We start from the raw sequence: 22,741 nt of genomic DNA, 5'->3' as shown, positions 1-22,741 counted from the left end.
CTCTTCATTTACTTGGGTCTTTTTTTTTCCAGTAGTGATTTATAATTTTCTCATTATAGATCTTCAAATGTTTTGTCATGTTTATCTCTAAGTGTTTCATAGTTTTTGATGTTATTGTAAAGATATTATTATTTGATTTTTTAAAATTTCTGATTATTTATTGGTAGTATATAGAAATACAATTGATTTTGGTATATTAATCATGTATTCTGCAACCTTGCTATTATGGGCTGAATTGTGTTTCCCCCCATATTTATATGTTGAAGTCCTAACCCATGATGTCACAGAATATGACTATTTGGAGGTAGGGTCTTTAAAAAGGTAATTAAGGTTAAATGAAGTCATTAGGATGGGCCATAATCCAATATGACTGGTGTCCTTATAGGAAGAGGAGATTAGGACATAAACCTATATAGAGAGAAGACCATATAAAGATACATAGAGATTTATCGGCTGGACATGGTGGCTCACGCCTGTAATCCCAGCACTTTGGGAGACCGAGGAAGGCAGATCACAAGGTCAGGAGTTTGAGACCAGCCTGGCCAATATGGTGAAACCCCGTTTCTACTAAAAATACAAAAATTAGCCAGGCGTGGTGTCGGGTGCCTGTAGTCCCAGCTACTTGGGAGGCTGAGGCAGGAGAATTGCTTGAACCCGGGAGGCAGAGGTTGCAGTGAGCTGAGATCACGCCATAGCACTCCAGCCTGGGCGACAGAGTGAGACTCCGTCTCAAAAAAAAAAAAAAAAAAAGAGAGAGATTTATCTGCAAGCCAAGGAGAGAGGCCTCAGAAGAAACTGGCCCTGCAACAGCTTGATCTACAGACTGAAACTATTCTTAGTCACCAGAATTGTGAGAAGATAAATTTCTGTTGTAAACAGAATTTCTGTTGTAAGCCAACCAGTGTGAGGTACTTTATTATGGCAGCCTGGCAAACTAATACATTTACTAAACTCACTTATTAGTTCTAATAGCTTTTTCATAGACCCAAGATTTTCCACATAGACAATTATATAATCTAAATAAATAGTTTTACTTCTTCCTTTCCAATTTGATGCCTTTTTATTCCTTTTCCTTGTCTTATTGCACTGTCTAGGACTTCAAGTACAGTGTTAAATAAAAATGGTGAGAGCAGGCATGCTAACCTTATTCCTAATTTTGTTTCATTTTATTATTATTTTTTGAGATGAAGTCTCACTCTGTTGCCCAGGCTGGAGTGCAGTGGTGCTATCTTGGCTCACTGCAACCTCTGCCTCCCGGGTTCAAGTGATTCTCCTGCCTCAGCCTCCTGAGTAGCTGGGACTACAGGTGCGTGCCACCACGCCTGGCTAATTGTTGTATTTTCAGTAGAGACAGGGTTTCACCATGTTGGCCAGGCTGGTCCTGAACTCCTGACCTCAAGTGATCCACCCGCCTCAGCCTCCCAAAGTGCTAGGATTACAAGCATGAGCCACTGCGCCTGGCCATTTTTCCTAATTTTAGTGGTAAGTGTTTAGTACTTCATCATTAAGTATGATATTAACTTTAGGTTTTTCGCAGATGCTGTTTATCAAGTTGAGGAAGTTTCCTTTTATTCTTAGTTTCATAGCTTTGATTTTTTAACTTCAATTTCAAAAGCAGACAAATGGGTACTCTGAATAGTTAGGCAAATCTTCCCTACAGTTATAGAGAAAACTGAAAAGTTAGGCACACCTTCCCTATGGTTATAGATAATAACTATACAATATGCAGAAGTAGTGACAAGCATGGATTCTAGACCCAGATTACACAGGTTCAAATCCTGGTTTTGCCACTTACCAGCAATGGAATTTGGGGACAAACTACTCACCCATTTGCGCTTTCATTTTCTCATCTGTAGAATAAGGATAATAATGATGCCTGCCTCGTAGGGTTTTTAATGAGGATAAAAATGTATAAATATTTATAATGTGTCTAGAACAGTGTCTCGCAAATAAGTACTATGTAAAATATTCTTCTCATGTTCATTTACAATCATGGAAGACAACTAGATTCTCTCTCAGGATGCAAGCTCACTATGCTAGCTTCCAGACATGGGTTTTATTCCATCTTTTCCCCAACCCCTGTTGCTCTTGGTGGCACAGTTAGAATTTTAGACTGGTAGAATCATCAGCTAGCCCCACCTCGAGCCCAAGGCAGAAACCCCTTCTGCATGTCACACCTGACAGCTGCTGGCTGCGTTCTGACCAATAATTCTTCAGGTTGACTGCACATTCAAGAAGTCTAAGTTTCTCAGCTACGGAAGCCTGATGATGTCAGGCTGTGAGGTGGCAGTGAGGTTTCCCAGGGATTGGGAAGCTAAGTGTCTGTGCTTAATGTATGCATTGCTAGGTCCTTCAGTTTCTTCCACCATGACACCTGACATGGGTATTGGCCTCTACTAGAACAAAGGCCCCTCAGACATGAACTCCAATGACTGGGTCTCCTGAAAACTGGCAACTCCTCTTTTTTGCCCCTAGGGAACCAAATTAGGGTCAAGGAGAGGGCTGGCTTCTCTTTCTTAGGAACTGCTCAGATCCTGAATAACTGCTCAGAGACCTGAATAACTCTGGGCTCTTTTTTTTTTTTTTTTTTTTTTTTTTTAGATGGAGTCTCACTCTGTCGCTCAGGCTGGAGTGCAGTGGTGAGATCTTGGCTCATTGCAACCTCCACCTCCTGGGTTCAAGCGATTCTCCTGCCTCAGCAGCCACCCAAGTAGCTGGGATTACAGGAGCGCACCACCACGACCTACTAATTTTTGTATTTTTAGTAAAGACAGGGTTTCACCATGTTGGTTAGGCTGGTCTCGAACTCCTGACCTTGTGATCTGCCTGCCTTGGCCTCCCAAAGTTCTGGGATTGGGCTTTTTTTTAAAAAAGCCCCATTGAGGGTAGGAGGGTAATTAGGTTCAATTCTTCCATTTCTAATTTTTAAAAATTATAAAGTTTTCAACAGTGTGTGATTCTCAGGTATTCTTGGCTAGAAGATCTCTTGATTTCAGATTTAGCATGAGCCTCTTCCTGATGGAGCAGCAGGTTGCTTTGCTCACTTAACAGTATTGTTACATAAACAAGCAAGAGATCTGTGTGCTACAAGTAAAGTCAAAATTTCCATCTGAATTTCAGCTAATCATGATATAAGGACCAATTCAGGCTTTGGATGTTTCAGTCTCCTGAGCCGTGCAGCTGTGTTTTCCCTCCTTTCACTAAATGCTGTAGTTTAAGATTTAGAGAATTATGTAAAACACACTGGCAGTGCCAGGGCTTAGAAGGGGTAGGATCCCCTGCCCAGTAATGTTGGCTGATGTTCTTTCTCCCTTTTTTGCTGATAGTAGGGGAGAAAGTTTCTTGAAAATGATCCAGTCTACAGGAGACAGTCTACAAGGGTCTACAGGAGCAAGAGGGGTTTCAGACGTTACCCAAGCCTTCTTAGTTTCAGGACTATGCTTTTTCTTAAAATAATTCTGAGAATTAAGTGCAAAAATATGCGAATGTCACATGTGCCGTGTGCATTTATAAATAAATGTGACATGTAAAGGTGTATTTATATATCTACCAATTGCACTGCAAAACCATCCCCAGCTCATAGACCAACCAGTCTTCCAAAATACTACTGTGATGCACTTAAAACCTGCAACTCTGCAGGAAGGTGACCTCAATGTACCTTCTTTGAATTTGCAGAACTGTGTACAAGAACACAAACTGTTTATACAGGATTGTAGCCTTTTTTAAATGCTAAAAAGGTCCCCATGATTTGCTTTGTTTAAGACATACACTCAAAACTTTATTAAAAACATTTTTCAAAAATAGTTTCATAAAGCTAGACACATCAGCAAGCCTCGATTGAGGGGTGGAAAATGAATTGTATATCTTTAAACCGCAGAAGTTAAAAGCCTTTTTTGTTGTTGTTAGCTAACAATGGAAACTTTTTTTTAAGTGTTTCCCTCCCTCGTCTTGCCAAGCAATAGAAAAAAAAAAAAAAGAAGAAAAGAAAAACTTGTTCCGCTGAGTTCAACCCCAGACAGGCTCACAACTTCCTTCCTGCTTTCCTCCCCCAAGCCTCCGCCTTTCTCCCTCCTCCCTCCTCCACTACCCCCCCCCCCAACAACTTTTCTTTCTTTCTTTTTTTTTTTTTTAATCGTGCATTGAACAAACACTGAAGTAGCCCGGAGCAGACACTGACAGGGGCAGTATCTCCACGGTCGAAAAGGGCGTGCAGGGCCGGCTTGGCGTCGCCACTGCCGGGATCGCCGGGCCCCTGAACCGAAGAGCTTTCCCCCCTCTTTCGCACTCCTCTTTTTTGTCTTCCATAGCTTGTGAGAAAATAATTTCTGAGCATTTTTACTTTTAAAGCCATCTCGTCCCTACGAGGTTTGCGCCTCTGGGCATGTAGTCTACACAGGACCTGAGAATCTGAGAAACTGCAGGTAAGTTTGGCGGCCTTTTAATGGCTCTCGCCTCTGAACAACCCTCTTTTCCCTCACTTTCTGCTCTGGAGCGAATCTCGGCGTTCCTGGTTCCGAAACAGGGCAAAGGGGTGGGCTGGGGAGGCAGGGAAGGGGGTTTGATTTTGGAGGGTGACATGGAGTGGCGGTGGGGAGAAAATAGGGAGAGACGAGGTCTCCGCATTTCTCCTACCCGCCTTCCGGGCCGCTCACTCCGCGCCGCCTCCCTCAGCGCGCTCCAGGAGTCCCCAGGCTGGGGTCTCGGGGCGGCTCTGCTGGCGCCGGGCGAGGCTGCCCGGGATGCGGAGAAGCCCTGCGCTCCGCGGCGCTGCCCTGGGGTGTTAGAGCGCCGGCTCCTGGGAGGTTTGCAGAGCTAGAGGCTCTGTGCACCTAGGGCTGCTGCCCGGCTGCAGCCATGCACGCCCCTAAGTTCCTCCGAGTGGGCGCGGGTCCGGGAGCCCGCAGGGGCAGTCGCGTCCTCGGCAACAGGGCGCGCTGAGAGCGGACTCGCTCCGCGCGCGTGCGGCGTATACACACACGCGTGTATACACACACACTCACAGACACCCCCCCATAGGGGACGACGGCAGGGGGGCAGCAAGTACTGGTTCCGGTAAAGAGAACGTGTAGAACCTCGGTGCGCCCACACTCACAAAACACTTGTCTAGGGATAGGCGACAAGGCTAGCCCTGAAAAATGCTTCGGCTGCGGCCCCGCTGCCCGCCCAGGCCTTCGTAGGCCGAGAGACACAGCCCCAAGGCTAGGGTCAGGAAGGTAAACGGCGGGCACGCGGGCGCCCTCCCAGATCCGGGCGCTGGCAGCGGCTCGGGCAAGGCAGGTCCCGCTTAGGTTCCCTCCGAGCCGGTCGGTCTCTGATGCCCCGAGAGGGTGGAGCAGGGAGACCCTGAAGCCCAGGGCGAGGGCTGCCGGGTTGCCCTGGATAGCCAATGTTTGCTCAGGCTGGGGAGACCCGGAGACGGTGGCTGGGGTGTCCTCAGCCCGGGAGAGCTGAGTCAGCCGCGCCCCGCACACAGCATACTTAGGAGCCAAGGACTTGGACCTCGCTTCTCGCCGGTCCGCGAGACGAGTATTAGGATTGGGATTTGAAGGGACCTCATAAAGCGCATCGCAGCCTGGGGCGAGGTGGGGGGCGGGGAAGCACACCCGAAACCGCGCTGGCGACCGAGGCAGCCGGGGCATGCCCTCGCCGAGCCTCGCCGTCCCCATAGGTGAGATGTCCGGTGGCGCTGGGTCCCGGATAGATTGTGTTCCCGGGGCTCTCTCTGGGTTCTGCAGGCGACCCCCAACTCCCCCCGCGCGCCCTCCAGGGTCCTGACTTTTCTCCTTGTATCTCCACAGCCGCACGGTTGTTTATGGAGCTTTGGGCGGGGGCTGAGCCCGCGGTCGTGCCCCCAGCCCGCTGCCCAGGCCATGCCGCCCCATCTGCGCGCGGAGCCGCGGCTGCCGGGCCTCCGGGGCTGAGCCGGGAGCGCCGGGAGGAGGAGGCGCCGGCGGCGGAGCAGGAGCGGGAGCCGCGGCGGCGGGCAGCGCGGGACCCAGTACTATGGCTGTGTACTGCTATGCGCTCAATAGCCTGGTGATCATGAATAGCGCCAACGAGATGAAGAGCGGCGGCGGCCCGGGGCCCAGTGGCAGCGAGACGCCCCCGCCCCCGAGGAGGGCAGTGCTGAGCCCCGGCAGCGTTTTCAGCCCCGGGAGAGGCGCCTCTTTCCTCTTCCCCCCAGCCGAGTCGCTGTCCCCCGAGGAGCCCCGGAGCCCCGGGGGCTGGCGGAGCGGCCGGCGCAGGCTGAATAGTAGCAGCGGCAGTGGCAGCGGCAGCAGCGGCAGTAGCGTGAGCAGCCCAAGTTGGGCTGGTCGCCTGCGAGGGGACCGGCAGCAGGTGGTGGCAGCCGGTACCCTCTCCCCGCCAGGGCCGGAGGAGGCCAAGAGGAAGCTGCGGATCTTGCAGCGCGAGTTGCAGAACGTGCAGGTGAACCAGAAAGTGGGCATGTTTGAGGCGCACATCCAGGCACAGAGCTCCGCCATTCAAGCGCCCCGCAGCCCGCGTTTGGGCAGGGCTCGCTCGCCCTCCCCGTGCCCCTTCCGCAGCAGCAGTCAGCCCCCTGGAAGGGTCCTGGTTCAGGGCGCCCGGAGCGAGGAACGGAGGACAAAGTCCTGGGGGGAGCAATGTCCAGAGACTTCAGGAACCGACTCCGGGAGGAAAGGAGGGCCCAGCCTATGCTCCTCGCAGGTGAAGAAAGGAATGCCACCTCTTCCCGGCCGGGCTGCCCCTACAGGATCAGAGGCTCAGGGTCCATCCGCTTTTGTAAGGATGGAGAAGGGTATCCCTGCCAGTCCCCGCTGTGGCTCACCCACAGCTATGGAAATTGACAAAAGGGGCTCTCCTACCCCGGGAACTCGGAGCTGCCTAGCTCCCTCATTGGGGCTGTTCGGAGCTAGCTTAACGATGGCCACGGAAGTGGCAGCGAGAGTTACATCCACTGGGCCACACCGTCCACAGGATCTTGCCCTCACTGAGCCGTCTGGGAGAGCCCGTGAGCTTGAGGACCTGCAGCCCCCAGAGGCCCTGGTGGAGAGGCAGGGGCAGTTTCTGGGCAGTGAGACAAGCCCAGCCCCAGAAAGGGGCGGGCCCCGCGATGGAGAACCCCCTGGGAAGATGGGGAAAGGATATCTGCCCTGTGGCATGCCGGGCTCTGGGGAGCCTGAAGTGGGCAAAAGGCCAGAGGAGACGACTGTGAGCGTGCAAAGCGCAGAGTCCTCTGATTCCCTGAGCTGGTCCAGGCTGCCCAGGGCCCTGGCCTCCGTAGGCCCTGAGGAGGCCCGAAGTGGGGCCCCCGTGGGCGGGGGGCGTTGGCAGCTCTCCGACAGAGTGGAGGGAGGGTCCCCAACGCTGGGCTTGCTTGGGGGCAGCCCCTCAGCACAGCCGGGGACCGGGAATGTGGAGGCGGGAATTCCTTCTGGCAGAATGCTGGAGCCTTTGCCCTGTTGGGACGCTGCGAAAGATCTGAAAGAACCTCAGTGCCCTCCTGGGGACAGGGTGGGTGTGCAGCCTGGGAACTCCAGGGTTTGGCAGGGCACCATGGAGAAAGCCGGTTTGGCTTGGACGCGTGGCACAGGGGTGCAATCAGAGGGGACTTGGGAAAGCCAGCGGCAGGACAGTGATGCCCTCCCAAGTCCGGAGCTGCTACCCCAAGATCCGGACAAGCCTTTCCTGAGGAAGGCCTGCAGCCCCAGCAACATACCTGCTGTCATCATTACAGACATGGGCACCCAGGAGGATGGGGCCTTGGAGGAGACGCAGGGAAGCCCTCGGGGCAACCTGCCCCTGAGGAAACTGTCCTCTTCCTCGGCCTCCTCCACGGGCTTCTCCTCATCCTACGAAGACTCAGAGGAGGACATCTCCAGTGACCCTGAGCGCACCCTGGACCCCAACTCAGCCTTCCTGCATACCCTGGACCAGCAGAAACCTAGAGTGGTAAGTCTTGCTCTGAGATTTGCCCAGAACTCATGCTGATTTCAGCAGACTTTTGATGCCCTATGCATCCCTTTTTCTTAACTTTCTACACAGTCATGAAAACTCAGACCAGGGCCCTGGGACAGTCACAGTGAATAATTCTGTCCAGGTGTGTTTGCTGAGGTGGAAGCAGAGGCACTGACCATGCATTTTAGCTTGGACAGTGAATCTGAGTCTTTCTACTATTTCCATGCATATCTTAAAAAACAAGTTTTAAAAGTATTTCATGTAGGTCACCACGCTTCTTGGGAAAATAATATTCATAAATGTCACCAAAAACTTCTGGACTAATCCCCAAAGATAGTGAACTGAGCTACTGAGTGTAGTTTTTGTCTGATCAGGTGAAACACTTAACTCTGTGTTTCATTCAGGCCAAAGAAAATTGACAAGGATATCATCAAATTAAGTTAGCCTCTACTAATAAGCCAGGAAAATGAGTGATGTGAATCTATGACAGGACCCTGAAACCTGTAGATGTGGTTGTGGCCAGTCAACTGGGTGAGGAATCACTGAGCCTCAGTAAGTTAAGCCAGACCATTGCAATATTTGTGTGGTCAGTGTAACCAAGGTGCAGTTTGATGTATGAATTAAATGAAAACCATACTTTGAGCTAAGCAGATGGTTTCTTCAGTATCATAGGCACCTGAGTGTTATCTCCGGAGTAGGTACCTCCTAATGGATGTACATGTCAGTTGGTACAGGTTGACATTTCAGGTATGTTTTCACGTGCCTCTGGTTTGGGTCATCACACTGACATCTTGTTCTGGTTATGGCAGTAGACAGGAGTTTATTTCTATTACATGGTTAATCGAACTTGTAGGCTGCTTTTACTCTTAGGAGGATCAGAGTATCTTACAGAAGACATAGGAGTTGAAGCTAGCACTTCTGAAAAGGTCTGGGCTTTCTCTTAGCTTTTCCAGAGAGCATGGGGAATTTCCTAGTTCAGTGTGCCAGGGGTGGTTGTGCTATATTGGGGGAAAGTCTGCATTTTATTATAGTAGGTAGCCTTCCGATTTCATCTTGAATATCAAATACTCTTCACTGTACCTCAATAACTTTCTCCACCACGACTGGGAGCTTTATGTTTCTACTCTGCATTCTTCACTAAGGTATTTTGGACCACAAAACATACTCCTCTCTGATTCCCTATTCACGAATCACAGTCTGGATTTTTGAAGACCAGGCATTCCTTTTCATGAAACTCTGCTTTTTGCTGATGATCTGGAGGCAAATGTGTATGCAAAATCGCCCCAATCAGCCTGGCATTTTGTGGCTAGGACAGGGCCCCTGGGCATTATGCACCTGCTGTCAGGCATAGGCGCACCACCTTTAGAGGGGGAAGCGGTCCACCTGGAAGGGGATGGTGGTCAAGGGCAGGTGGGAAATACTTCTTTCTGAAGGCATGGGCCAGATTTCTCTTTCTGCCCAGCAGTTAGAGGTCTACTGAATAAGAGATGGTCCCCCGTCCCATCCCTCCCAGTTGCTTTTGAACTCCTGAAGCATAGCTGAAACAGCCAAAGTCACTTTAACTTGTTCCCTGACTGTCCATTCACCCTTTCTAGTGGTAGATTAGCAACTTCTATTGGCTGGTTGTCAAAACAGTTTGTGTCCCGATGTTTGAAAACGGCTCTTGTCTAGAAGAGAATTAACAGGGAGATCAATAACGACAGGTGACTTTTTTTTCCATTTGCCAGAACGATGCCATTTGAGAAACCAGAGGGTTAAGTGGTGTTTTTAAGTTAGTGAACATATCCAGAGGTAGAAACGAGGCCAGCCTGTTGTCCAGTCTACCTCCCACCTTTAAACAGGTTTTCAGACACCCGCAGAGCAGAGCCAGGGAAAAATCCCCTGCCGGCTTTGCTCTCTGAATCACATGAGACTGGTGGGAAGTGGGGTGGGTGTGTGTGTGTGTGTGTAGGGGGGTAAGGGTGGGTAACCAACTGGAAATTATGGGATCCTAGGGACTTTTGAGCTTTGGTTGAGTGCTTGCACGATAAGCAAAGTTTTCTTCTTGTACAGATTGTTACGCTGGAGCCTTATCTGTGACACCCAAACATCAGCTCATTGGGTCAAAAATCACTTGATTACCTGCAATAGATATTTTGTCTACAGAAGGCCAGACATCTTGATGGAGTGAGTCTTTTGGCTGGGCCTTTCTGTGTTTGATAGATAAAAGCCCCACCAGCTCTGTCTGAGGTTCTACCAAACTGATGTAGCATTCTCTTTTCTGGACTTTGCTGTGTCTGTCCAGCTACTGCACAACGCTATAGCTGCACACTCTCATGCTTGCTCACACTTGCTTACACTTGCCCTCACACATGCCCTCACACATGCTCACACTTACCCTCCTATGCTCACACAGGTTCCCCCTTGCTCACCCCACTCACACAGGTCTGAAATGGCATGTTCAGCGTTCCAGTCACATAACCAACCCCTGGCCCTCAGACCCACACTAGACACTGAGATTGTTTCTGTGCTGCCCTACCTTCCCACAGAGTTAAGCCTTTCGGGCCTCCTGTGGCGCTTTCTTCATCCTTGCTGAGGAATGAGTGTGTATGACTTGGTGTGCAGGCAGGGGGTGACAGTATATCTGCTTAGTAGGGATCAGACACTTGAAATTTGCTCAGAAATAGTTGCATTACACGCCCAGTGTGCAATGGCTGAAATTCAGGCACATTCATGCTTACTGTTCTCTGAGATCTGAACAAAATCAAATTGCACTGAGCAAGGATAGTGCTCAATCTTTTGTTCTTTCTGACAACTAAAAATTAACCAGCGGTTGTTTACTTCCCTATATAATTCTGTTTAAGAGAATCTGGACCATTGAGACACCAGGCTTAAAATGTTGTATTAAGATATAAAAGTACCTTACTTTAAAAATAGATTTTTATTGATTTATTTCAAAATTGTTCTGTCAGTTATATGTACAAAAAAAAAAAAAACAAAAGAACGCTGGGCACGGTGGCTCATGCCTGTAATCCCAGCACTTTCGGAGGCCAAGGCGGGTGGATCACTTGAGGTCAGGAGTTCAAAACCAGCCTGGCCAACATGGTGAAACCCCGTCTCTACTAAAAATACAAAAATTAGCTGGCGTGGTCGCGGGCGCCTGTAATCCCAGCTACTTGGGAGGCTAAGGCAGGAGAATTGCTTGAACACTGGAGGTAGAGGTTGCAATGAGGCGAGATTGTACCACTGCACTGCAGCCTGGGCTACAGAGTGAGACTCCGTTTCAAAACAAAACAAAAAACAAAAACAAAAAACACTGGCCTAATTACCTGTGGGGTGTATAAAGAAGTGTAATACAAAACCCTTGGCTTCATGGTGCTTACTGTTTTTTAAAGGCCATTGGAATTTTGTTTCCTTCGCTTTTTTTTTTTTTTTTTTTGATGTTGACTAGTTTTGTTGTCTTTTTTTTTTCTGAGTGAAAAACGAACTCATACACATAGTAAAAAATCCAAACAGTTTAACATGGTTTTATGTGGTTTTGAAAAGTGTGTAAAAATTTTAGTTTGGGGTAAACCAAACTAAAATTTAAAAGCCTAGAGGGGCACTTTAAAAAATGCATCTGTTGGTGAATACTTTTAAGTGGAAAATTCTTTTCTAGATGAGAATGTTGAAAGCTCAGATTTGTGGGGTTATGAGCTCAGGTTGCATATGCTGTTTTCTGAAGATGGGGTACCCTTCTTCTCTCAGGTACATGGAGAGGATCTTTCTGGCAAGGGCTCAGCAGCTTTGAGATCTGGGAGGACCCCGAGTCATTTATTTTGGGTTCTGGGTATGACTGATCTGTTTGGGGATGAGGAAATAAACACTCAGAAAGTCAAAGGGAACCAAGGACACACTCATGGGCTCTGCTTCTCTAGCTTAGTTTTCTCCTCTGAAAATGTGGGTATTGTATGGGAATGATCTCATGGGGTCATCTAGTTCTGTCTGTGACTATGTAATTGAAGACATCTGATTTAAAGCCTAGTGTTTGTATTAGGGTATCAGAAAATGCGACAAGACTTCTTAGGTGTGGGTTTCCGGCACTGAGGCCAAAACTGGGCACTTTTACTTTTGTGCTTTTGCTTGAGACCAATTGATTGATCTGCCTATCTTCTATCTCTTTGCCATAAGAAAGGCTCTTTGTAATTTCATACTGAAAAAGTATCATCAAAATAAATCATCAGTACCATACCTAAGATTATCATTAATAATTAGTCTGGTGGTAGAGACAGCTGGTAGGATGCCAGAACATTAACCTGAACAGTAAAAGATTCATTCTGTTTAAAAACAAAAAGCAGGGCATTGTCCCCCCTCAGATACTGAAGTCTAGAAACTGAGGCCTTGCCCACACAGAGCCAAAACATCACTTCAAAGACCTTGTCTTATCAAAGATAAAAGTATTCAGCCAGCTTAAAACATTTTCAAGTAAAGGTGAGGTATACAGACAAAGAGAGATTGATTCTAAGCGTTGCTACTTATCATGCAAATGCTTAGACTTTGCAAAACATACAGCTCAAGACTCACCCGCTTTTAGGTACTACAAGAAAACATTAAACCAGTCAGTCGGTGTTTTTAGAGAAATATATTTGAGGTGTTACATAAGTCATTTTCAGAATTTTTGTTTTTAAGTGCTGAATTGCTACAGAGTCACTTTTCTGATTTTGTTGGCACATACCTGTTAAATGCAGTTCCAGATTAGATTAGTACTGGCTAGTTTATTTATATTCCTAGGAGTATTGACAACATTGTTTAGGCTTATTTTATTTTGTCAGGTCTCAATTTAGTTATCTAAAGGTAGAATTTTAAGGTATTTAATGGAAAGAATTTTATATCTTGGTGGAAAAAAAACTACAGACTTTGGATAATCAGGAGGTGGTTCAGAATTAACTTGGGAAGTCTTCTAAAGCATGTTGTGATCGCAGCCTCAGGGTAGAAGGTTCTGTGGATTTTGGTGGGAGAGGAGACCTTGGGATGGTAGGTTTATGCATATGGTACTCTCAACTCCATGACAAGGCCTTGCTGTGATTTTTCTTTTCCTCACTGGGTAGAATTGGCATCATGAAAGATGTATTTTTCAGCCATCAGGGGAGCTCATTGTTAACAAAAGTCACACCAAACCCAACTATGAACTCTTTGGTAATTTGAAAAGTGGAGTGGCAGCTGCCTGTTTGGGATTTTGTATTACCAGTTCTAAGATGGTTGCCCTTCCTGTGTTAACTTACCAAACCAAGTGACGATGGTGCTACAGGCAGTCCCAAACAACATGGAGCAGAAACAATCAGCATCTCCTTCAGACCCATGGGTCTGGTCCATCTGACTGTGGAGGGCTACCTTGGTGATCTGGAAGAATCTGCTGACCTGGTCCCTTGACCTTGTAGTCAAATTTGACTAGCTAAAGTTCTGCCAGACAGCTCTTCATTTTCTCACTGGGCCCCCTTCATTCACCCCAACTTTCTGGTGAAGACAGCAGCCCTGATCCATTTTTCCAGGAGTAAACTATTATCTTAAATACAGTTCAAGTCTCCTTGGTTGACAGACACCATAAATATATATGATCTCATTAGGAAGTTAGGCCTCTGTGCTTCCTATTAAAAAATAACAAAAACTAGGCCAGGTGTGGTGGTTCATGCCTGTAATCCCAGCACTTTGGGAGGCTGAGGTGGATGGATCACCTGAGGTCAGGAGTTCGAAACCAGCCTAGTCAACATGGTGAAACCTCGTCTACTAAAAATACTAAATCTACTAAAAATACGAAAGTTAGCCGGGCATGGTGGCACACACCTGTAATCCCAGCTACTCAGGAGGCTGAGACAGGAGAACCACTTGAACCCAGGAGTTGGAGGTTGCAGTGAGCCGAGATTGCACCATTGCACTCCAGCCTGGGTGACAGAGCAAGACTCTGTCTCAAAAACAAAAACAAAAACAAAACAAAAACTTTTCGATAGCTTCCATAATTAACAGTATCGAAATCTGGGTCTGGGACAGGCTTTAGAGCTCATTTCCTTTTTTTTTTTTTTTTTTGAGGTGGAGTCTCGCTCTGTCACCCAGGCTGGAGTGCAGTGGCATGATATCGGCTCACTGCAACCTCTGCCTCCCGGATTCAAGCAATTCTCCCGCCTCAGCCTTCCGAATAGCTGGGACTACAGGCGCATGCCACCATGCCCGGATAATTTTTGTATTTTTAGTAGAAATGGGTTTTCACCATGTTGGCCAGGATGGTCTCTATCTCTTGATCTTGTGATACTCCCATCTCGGCCTCCCAAAGTGCTGGGATTACAGGCGTGAGCCACCGCGCCTGGCCTCATTTCCTTTAATATCCACATTTTACAGAGGAGGAAAGCAAGGGTGGAAAATAGTCAATACCATTACAGGACCCATGGTTACACCCTTCAACTAACAAACTTCCTCAGTGGATAAGCTCCTTACTCGCCTTTGCAGATCCACCTCAGCTTTGAACACAGTGCATGCTTTTAAAGCATTTGTTAAAGGAATGGGTGAATGAATGAAGGAGAGAAAAAATCCCTGCTGCATTATCTACCCATAAAAGAAATACAGAACCATCTGGAAGGTGAAGAACAAAGAAAGGGAATCAAGCCCTGGGAATGCAAGTTTGTTGCTTATTCCTGTGACTGCTGCCACAGGGATAAGGGTGCTAGGCTTGGGTTTAGGAGACTTGGGTGAAATTCCAGTCTACACATGGCTAGCAAGCTCTCTGAAAAATGGGGAGAGTAAGTGTGACCTCATGGAGTGGTGAGCGTTCAATTATGTCATGTTTATAAAAGTGCCTAGCACTGTACCTGGTACATAGTAGGGGTGTAGTAGTAGTGGTTTCCTTTTGTTCAGTTGCAGGGTTGGGGATTACTTTAAGGCTTAGACTCAAAGCGATAGGAATGAATTGCTTGGTCAGCAGAAGTGCACACTGCACACCAGCCTCAAGGGACAAGGTCAACCACGACACGTTTGCAAAGTGTTTGTGCGGGGAAGACCACTCTGATGTTTCTTACTTAAAGGCAGGGTCTTCCAACTTTGTCTGATACGGAATGACTTGTTACAATCATTTCACAGGCAAGCCAACACTCAGGCTTTTGACTAACTTGTCTGGCGTGTTTCTCAACAACTCCATTAAGAATTCACTGTTAGAAATCTGATCTTTTCTCCTCTGTTGAGCTTTACTTGGGCATTTTATTGATTTGATATCACTTAGTAGAAACCCATTCAACAAAAGGTATCTCTTCAGGCCACTAGTCAATACAGCATTTTTTATTTGCTGAGATTTTTACTTCTATTTTGCCCCACATCAGCTGGTAAGTTTTATAAGTAAGCAAAAAGTAGGAGCTATAGACAATAAGGAAGCAGAATGAACCTCTGCAATTCATATTTATGTATGATTTCACTTGGAGTGGGAGGAGATGTTTTTTTTCCCCATCTTTGAATAAGTAGAAAAACATCTCACGTAACCTGGGGTGGTGGTGGTGAATTTTCAGCTGAAGGGAATCCTTCCTCGTGAAGCTCACTGCTATCCTGTTAATCTAGCATTTTACTTTTGTGGTAAGATTCTGGGTGGAAAGGGAAAATGAAATGATACAGCATCTCAAACATAGGCATCAAGATTATTTCCGTTGACCTGGTGACCAAGATTAGGGTTTGCCTAACCCAGAGATGATAATACGTATTAATGATGAAGGGTAACGGCCGGCCCTTGGCCAAGGAGAACTCTTCTGAAGGGGTGGGCCATTTGCTCACATTTATAAAGTTGGTCTCAGGGCGTTGAGGGGTGGGGGTGCAAACGAGGTGCTTTTACCTCTGGCTTTTGGGGCAATGACAGCAGTTTTCTTTCTTGGCCCTTCTAAAGGGTTCTCTGCATTCTGTCCCCCTCCCTGCCCCCATCCATTAAAGGAGAACGAATAAACTGATTTTACTGTTTTCCAAGAAGAAGGCATAACACATTTTATATTACCAGTGCTTAATATTTTCATGAACTACAGGGAGCGTTCAGCCTGCCGCGAGAAGGATTTGGTTCCCTGGTGACTGGCCATCCACCCAGCTCAATCTGCAATCTCTCTTGGTATGCTGCTGAGTTGGTGGGACCTGGGCAATTACAAGGGAGGTCACTGCACCCCCAGGCAGTTCCCAGCAAGTGTTTTTTCCAATTTCACTGACATTCTTTCCGGGCTCAACTCAATTTGTTTTCAACTTCTCTATGGCAATTGATGACTGACTGTGTAATTCAGCAGGATCTCCTGTGAAGTGCTTCTTCCCCAGTTGAATAGGAGCTGGTGTTTGTCTAAGCCTCTGCTTATGCATGAGGTATAATGCTTTTTATATGTTATATAATGCTCTTACGCGTTAGCTATCTGAATGATAGATTTAATAAAATATACCTCATAATATTATGGGGAAAGGATGACGACTGTTATAGAGAGGAACTTGGGAGTATCACTTCTGTAATCCTTATCTAACCTGAATCTGCTAGCAGGAAACTGAAAAGGCCTGTGTATGACAATGAGATAAACAATTTTAATCTCTTAGCAATGTCAAGTGGAAAATCTAACTACCTGCCAGTAGTTTAAGAAATGGCTAAGAGATTTTGTTGGGCACAAATAATCCTGAGACCCAGATTGCTGAGCCAAGGGTAGGAAAATTGGTTTTGCTATGTGTTACAGCTGGGAAGTGAGAAGGTCACTGTTTGACAAACTACTAAAAAAACCTTATGGATTAAACATTCGCCAGTGTAGGGGACATTTTGAATGTGTTATAATTGATATTTTAGTCTATATGCGGCCGCTGAACGCTTTTTCTTTTACAAAAAAAAAAAATTTATGAATTTGAGACAGAGTCTCACTCTGTCGCCCAGGCAGGAGTGCAGTTGTGTGATCACAGCTCACTGCAGCCTCGATCTCTCCAGCTCAAGAGATCCTCACACCTCAGCCTCCCGAGTAGCTGGGACTACAGGCTCGTACCATCATGCCTGGCTTATTTTTTATTTTTTAGTAGAGACATCTCTTGCTATGTTGCCCAGGCTGGTCTCGAATTCCTGAGCTCAAGCGATCCTTCCACCTTGGCCTCCCAATCCGCCTTGGCCTCCCAAAGTGTTGGGATTACAGCTGGGAGCCACTGAGCCTGGCCTTCTCTTTTTCTTAACCTTTCTCCTTCATCATCATCATAGTCATCACAGCATTAAACACTCATTAATATTGACCATCTGGCTAATTGCAAGTAGTTGAGGAGACTCAAGACCTCCTCTGAGAATGTTTTTTGTGCTTAACAAGTGAACGTGCTTGAAAGACTTGTGACTCTCAGATCCAGCACTTGACCTCATTGGGCCTCTTTGGACTTGGGTATCCTCAATCTGTAAAATGGGTATATTGATAGTCTTCCTACCTCATGTGGTCTTTGTGAGTCCAAATAAGACGTGTATACAGTCATTTGGGGACAGTGAATTATTTCCTGCCTAAATGAGTTTTTAATTATGAGTACGATGACTTTGCTTTTTTACAAAAAGAGGATGGACAAGGGCAAGCACTCACTCATGAAGAGTATTCTGACCTTGTTGCTTGAAAAGAAATTGCTAAGGACTATGTTAAAAGCAATCTCTGCGTCCACAGCAGAGCCAGTTCTGAGGTGGACGGAGCAGTGAGGTCGGGTTGGGATGAGGAGATATTCTGGATAACGCCCCGGTTTCACTTCAGCCGCAGCATCGTCTCCTCTTGCCTGTGTGACCATCTCGGCCATTGTAGACTGTGGACGCAGCCTCCTCCGGCTGTGGTTTGCCCATTCGTCAGTGGGCATGCAGATGTAACAGACACCAGGGAAGGCTGGAGTGAGCAAGGAGGGGGCCCCAAAGCAGGGGTCTCATGCTCCCTGAACAGGGCTGCCAGCTGCTGAATCATGATAGGGAGACTGCACTGCACTCTAGAGTTTGAGGGTACTTAATGGGGGCATGGACTTTTCCAGTACCTTGAGTGGTTTTCTCTTCTGTGTCATGGAAAGTGAAAGGGGGGAATTCAGCAAAGTCTTGAGCTTTTAATTACATCTTGAGCAGATATTACATTCAGTAGATATATACTGGGTGCCTCTTCTGTATGGCCAGGCCCTGGGCTAGGTCTGGCAACCACTGCCTCCTTTTCCACGGAGCTGGATTTCCCTTCGGGTGGCTGCCCACTTTGAGAAGTGCACTTTGCACCCAGTGGCAGCCCAAATAGCAGGCATTTATTTAATACCCTTGTCTGCAGACACCTGTGCTGAGAAGAACGGCTTAACGGATGCTGTCCCTGTCCTTGGGGATCTGCCTTCTAAGACAAAGTTAATGCCAATAGACATATTGGAAATTTGTGAAACTGAAGAACAAGTTGTACGGCCATTGAGCAAGCATGTTCATTAAATATGAGTTAACAAATAATGGGTTGGTGCTGGCATGCACAATGCAGAAAGCTTCAGTACATGTTGTGGAACAGGGAGTAAAGGAACTGGATTTGGGCAACAGCCTCTAGGGAAGGAGTCTGGGGTAAAGGTCTTGAGGAATTTGCTCCCTCTGTTAGAAGTGGTAGATCAAAGAGACTGTTCTGGATCCAGAGGCTCACGGAGGCTGGAATGAAAGAGGGCACCCCTGCCCCAGTACTTGATTTGGAGCGTTGGATTCTGCACAAATTGATGCTCAGCAGTTGCACGGTGCAGAGCCCAGTCAGCTGCACTGTTGCTATGCTCTCGGGAGGACCCCGATTGACCAGAAGGACATGGTCAGGAGAGCTCGGCAGGGGTTTTTCTGCTTAGTACACGTTATAGAGTCTTAGCTATGGAAGAGCTCTAGGGGGAGGGGAAGAACCCTGAGGTGTAGTCCTGGGTTGAGTCTAAACTCTGTTACTTCCTATCTGTGTGACCCTAGAGAAAACTTTCTGCTCCTCAGTTGCATCATCTGTGAAATGTGACTGATAATACCCACCTTAAGGCTGTGAGCCTTAAACAAGGTAATGTGGGAAATGCCTAGCACAGCGTCTGGACATACTAAATGCTCGATACAATAGCATGGACCTCAGAGGCAGCTGTGGTGTCATTTGTTAGTATTTTATGCCGAACCTGCGACCTCCACCATTCTCTTTGATTGGGTGAGAGTGAATAAGGGTGTCTGAGGCAGTGTTGCTGACTTCTTCCCTTGGAAGAGGAGAAGTCATGGGGTCTGGGAGCTCTTTGACATTGAGGTTTGTAGGAAGTGTGTGCTGGGGGAGGCTTGCTCTGCTGAGCACAGAAGCAAGATGGTCTGCTGGGGAGTGTGGAGCCCGAGCCAGCCAGACCTGAACCCACACCCTCACTCTGTCCTAGACCTTGGCGTGGGCTGAACATCTCTGAGTCTCAGTGTCCTCATCTCTAACATGAGGATAATGAGCCTCTCTCAGGGGGTGCTGTGAAGATGAAAGGAGATAATGCAGCTCAAGTACCGGGTGCAGAACAGGGGTGGAATAGAGGACACCCCTCCACCAGTTGTGAAGAGCGTTTTTAAGTGGATGCCCTAATCGCCTTCACCAATTGGCTCGAGTCACGTTGTCCCAAGTACAGCTAATTGTCGAAGATGATGACAAAACAGGCAGCAGGATTTATTTTTCCAGGGAGGTTCTTTAGTTGCAGGAGAGGCCTCACTTTGTTACTAGGGATTGGAACTTGAAGTTTAAAAAAACAATCCCCTGTATTCAGCTGCCGGCAAGAGGTGTCAGGTTACACACCCTGGGGACCAGCCTCTTTTTATTCTGTTTTGTAGGTGGAAACTGGCTGAGGTCATCCAGACACAAAATGCCCAGCATTTGGGGTGTGAAAGCCTCTGTCCCTTCCCTCCCTTCCCCTTGTTCCTCTGCTTTCTTGGTGCATCTTTTAGAGTCACTGTAGCTCATAAGAGAGCCAATGAAATATATACATATATATCTCTCTATACACACACACCCACACACACGTGTGTGTGTAGAACAACACTACTCTGTATCGGTGTGGCTTTTCTTACCAAGGAGGTCTCTGGACGTGTGTGATTTAATTAGTCTTCGTCTCTTCTCTGTGCCGCATCTGGTGCCAGGCCAGGCACGTGCTTATTAACACAGGCTCTCTCTGAGATTAAGGAGATGTTTTATCTTACTGCACACCCAGTGAGGCCCGTCACGTGTCCATTCACAGGGACTCAGGTCCAGGTGGCTCTGGGGTCTCTGAAGTACACTGTGCGTCACCCTGGCCTCCTCTTGAAGTGAGCCACAGAGAACCTACCCAGGACTTCCCAAGTCACAAGGCCATACTGTGCCCTTGTCATCTGGGCTGGGATGGTGGAGTGGAAGGAAAAGCCAGTCAGGTGACTGGACGGAGCTGATGAACCCCGAGCACACCAGCTCACTTCCAAGTCCCAGGAGGGCCTACTGGAACCCATGCAGGATCCGGGCTGGATGGCTACAGGTTCCATCTGAGCAGCACGGACTGGCGTCACCACAGCCCTGGGCATCCTGCCTGCCAAACCCTGGTCTCTACTCTGCTACACACAGGATGTGTGAAATGGAACTCTCTCCTTCCTTTCAGCTGTAATGGGTGGGGGGCAGGGGGAGCAGGTAGCCTGCAGGGTTGACCCCTGGGGGTTTGCATCTTTTCTGTCCAGGATGATCTATTCAAACCTTTTCTAGCCCCAGGACCCATTAGGCATCTGTACAGAGCTTCCAGGCTCTGAATGTGCAGTTTTGAGACGTTGCCCCTTTCTAGACATATGTGTCTCAGGCTCAGCCTGCCCTAACACCTCCCCAAGCCCCAGTTTCTTTCTGCCCTTTGCAGGATGAAGGGACTGATGTCTGGGAGGATTGAAACCACGAAAGGAGCTTGTTAGCACGTGGCAGTGTTGACCTCAGGGGTGGTCTGATGGCGAATGTGCTGGACAGTAACTCCCTTATTGCCCCAACCTGGAAATATACACAGAATGGTAATTAGTTTCGATCTCAGGGTAAAGCCATATGGAGCAGCGTCTGGGATGCTGTTTACCTTGCGGTATTACACTGTACATTAAAAATCAGCTGCTCTCTCCTGAGAGCCGAGCCGTCTCCCGCCTCTGCAGACTGCTGGTTAACCCCAAGAAGCTGAACGGAGCCCTGCAGGTTCTGGGTCCTTCCTGGCATCCTGTCTTTGGCATTTTGAACTGGCCTAGATTTTCTGGTCAGTCACCATTGGCCTCAAATACCACATTCCCAGGGGAAGGCAGGAGAGTCTCCTAGGAGTTGGAGTGGCAAGGAGCCCCAAGGATCCATGTTGTGCTTGAAGGGCGAGTGCCCTGAATGTACCAGGTGGCAGGTTGCTAGGAACCTTGAGCCTGGCCTCTGACTGTAGTTTGGGAACACTGACTTTGCAAAGAAGACTTGAGCAACTTCAGAAAATAGTTTATGGCTGGGTGCGGTGGCTCATGACTATAACCCCAGCACTTTGAGAGGCTGAGGTGGGTGGATTACCTGAGGTCAGGAGTTCGATTCCAGCCTGGCCAACATGGTGAAATCCCGTATCTACTAAAAATACAAAATCAGCTGGGTGTGGTGGTGCGCGCCTGTAATCCCAGCTAATCCTGAGGCTGAGGCAGGAGAATCGCTTGAACCCGGGAGGCGGGAGTTGCAATGAGCCCAGATTGTGCCACTGCACTCCAGCCTGGGCCACAAGAACAAAACTCCATCTCAAGAAAAAAAAAAAGAAAGAAAAGAAAAGAAAAAAAGGCCAGGTGCGGTGGCTCACGCCTGTAATCCCAGCACTTTGGGAGGCTGAGGCAGGTGGATCACCTGAGGTCAGGAGTTCCAGACCACCCTGACCAACATGGTGAAACCCCGTCTCTACTAAATACAAAATATTAGCCAGGCGTGGTGGCGTACGCCTGTAATCCCAGCTACTTGGGAGGCTGAGGCAGGAGAATTGCTTGAACCTGGGAGGCAGAGGTTGCAGTGAGCTGAGATTGCACCACTGCACTCCAGCCTGTGCAATAAGAGCGAAACCCCGTCTCAAAAAAAAAAGAAAATAGTTCAGTATGACCCCATGACCAGATGTCATAAAAGGGAACATAAGTTCCCCATAAAGGTATTTAAAAGTCAGTTGCCCAAAGGATAGGATGGAGGAGTCCTGGCTCATCAATATTTCTTTTATTTCTTTTTTTTTTTTTTTTTTTTTGAGACAGAGTTTTGTTCTTGTTGCCCAGGCTGGAGTGCAATGGCGAGATCTTGACTCACTGCAACCTCCGCCTCCTGGGTTCAAGCGATTCTCCTGCCTCAGCCTCCTGAGTAGCTGGGATTACAGGCATGTGCCACCACGCCTGGCTAATTTTGTATTTTTTTTTTAGTAGAGACGGGGTTTCTCCATGTTGGTCAGGTTGGGCTCGAACTCCCGACCTCAGGTGATCCACCCACCTCGGCCTCCCAAAGTGCTGGGATTATAGGCGTGAACCACTGCGCCCGGCCAATATTTTATTTTATTTTTTGAGATGGAGTCTTGATCTGTCGCCCAGGCTGGGGTGCACTGGCATGATCTCAGCTCATTGCAACCTCTGCTGCCCGGGTTCAAGCGATTCTTCTGCCTCAGCCTCCTGAGTAGCTGGGATTACAGACAGGTGCCACCATGCCTGGCTAATTTTGTGTTTTTAGTAGAGATGGGGTTTCAGCATCTTGGCCAGGCTGATCTTGAACCGCGTGATCTGCCCGTCTCGGCCTCCCAAAGTGCTGGGATTATAGGCATGAGCCACCACGCCCGGCCGCGCCCGGCCAATATTTCTTTTGAAATTCACTGGGAGTTATAATTTTAC

At 47.9% G+C, this 22,741-nt stretch overlaps 1 protein-coding gene across 3 annotated transcripts in view, besides 5 other annotated features; it reads left to right on the top strand.

Moving 5' to 3' along the window:
- Positions 4,174 to 4,423: an enhancer, noted in NCBI's record as "active region_2670". NCBI's record gives its function as "activates an Ori minimal core promoter by ATAC-STARR-seq in GM12878 lymphoblastoid cells {active_cell/tissue: GM12878}" and the evidence as "EXISTENCE:reporter gene assay evidence [ECO:0000049][PMID:35858748]".
- Positions 4,180 to 22,741, top strand: part of ITPKB (inositol-trisphosphate 3-kinase B) — a 107,593-nt gene continuing 89,031 nt past the window's right edge. For 2 of the 3 annotated variants that reach the window (NM_002221.4, NM_001388404.1), the window contains exons 1-2: positions 4,180 to 4,421; positions 5,799 to 7,935. In NM_002221.4, the coding sequence (NP_002212.3) occupies positions 6,004 to 7,935 (1,932 nt within the window). In that variant the 5' untranslated portion in view covers positions 4,180 to 4,421; positions 5,799 to 6,003. Of the gene's footprint in view, positions 4,422 to 5,798; positions 7,936 to 13,983; positions 16,699 to 22,741 lie in introns of those variants that run through there. The other variant, XM_017001211.3, reaches the window with a different exon arrangement.
- Positions 4,644 to 4,883: a silencer, noted in NCBI's record as "silent region_1891". NCBI's record gives its function as "represses an Ori minimal core promoter by ATAC-STARR-seq in GM12878 lymphoblastoid cells {active_cell/tissue: GM12878}" and the evidence as "EXISTENCE:reporter gene assay evidence [ECO:0000049][PMID:35858748]".
- Positions 5,047 to 5,546: an enhancer, noted in NCBI's record as "H3K4me1 hESC enhancer chr1:226925617-226926116 (GRCh37/hg19 assembly coordinates)". NCBI's record gives its function as "activates a minimal SCP1, AML or CMV promoter by ChIP-STARR-seq in naive H9 embryonic stem cells {active_cell/tissue: H9 hESC(naive)}" and the evidence as "EXISTENCE:reporter gene assay evidence [ECO:0000049][PMID:30033119]".
- Positions 5,854 to 6,303: a silencer, noted in NCBI's record as "silent region_1890". NCBI's record gives its function as "represses an Ori minimal core promoter by ATAC-STARR-seq in GM12878 lymphoblastoid cells {active_cell/tissue: GM12878}" and the evidence as "EXISTENCE:reporter gene assay evidence [ECO:0000049][PMID:35858748]".
- Positions 19,307 to 20,062: an enhancer, noted in NCBI's record as "NANOG-H3K27ac-H3K4me1 hESC enhancer chr1:226911101-226911856 (GRCh37/hg19 assembly coordinates)". NCBI's record gives its function as "activates a minimal SCP1, AML or CMV promoter by ChIP-STARR-seq in naive H9 embryonic stem cells {active_cell/tissue: H9 hESC(naive)}" and the evidence as "EXISTENCE:reporter gene assay evidence [ECO:0000049][PMID:30033119]".

Source organism: Homo sapiens, chromosome 1 (assembly GCF_000001405.40).
Source record: "Homo sapiens chromosome 1, GRCh38.p14 Primary Assembly".
NCBI lineage: Eukaryota > Metazoa > Chordata > Mammalia > Primates > Hominidae > Homo > Homo sapiens.
Note: the sequence above shows the minus strand (reverse complement) of the source record. Positions and strands in the feature narration are given on the sequence as shown.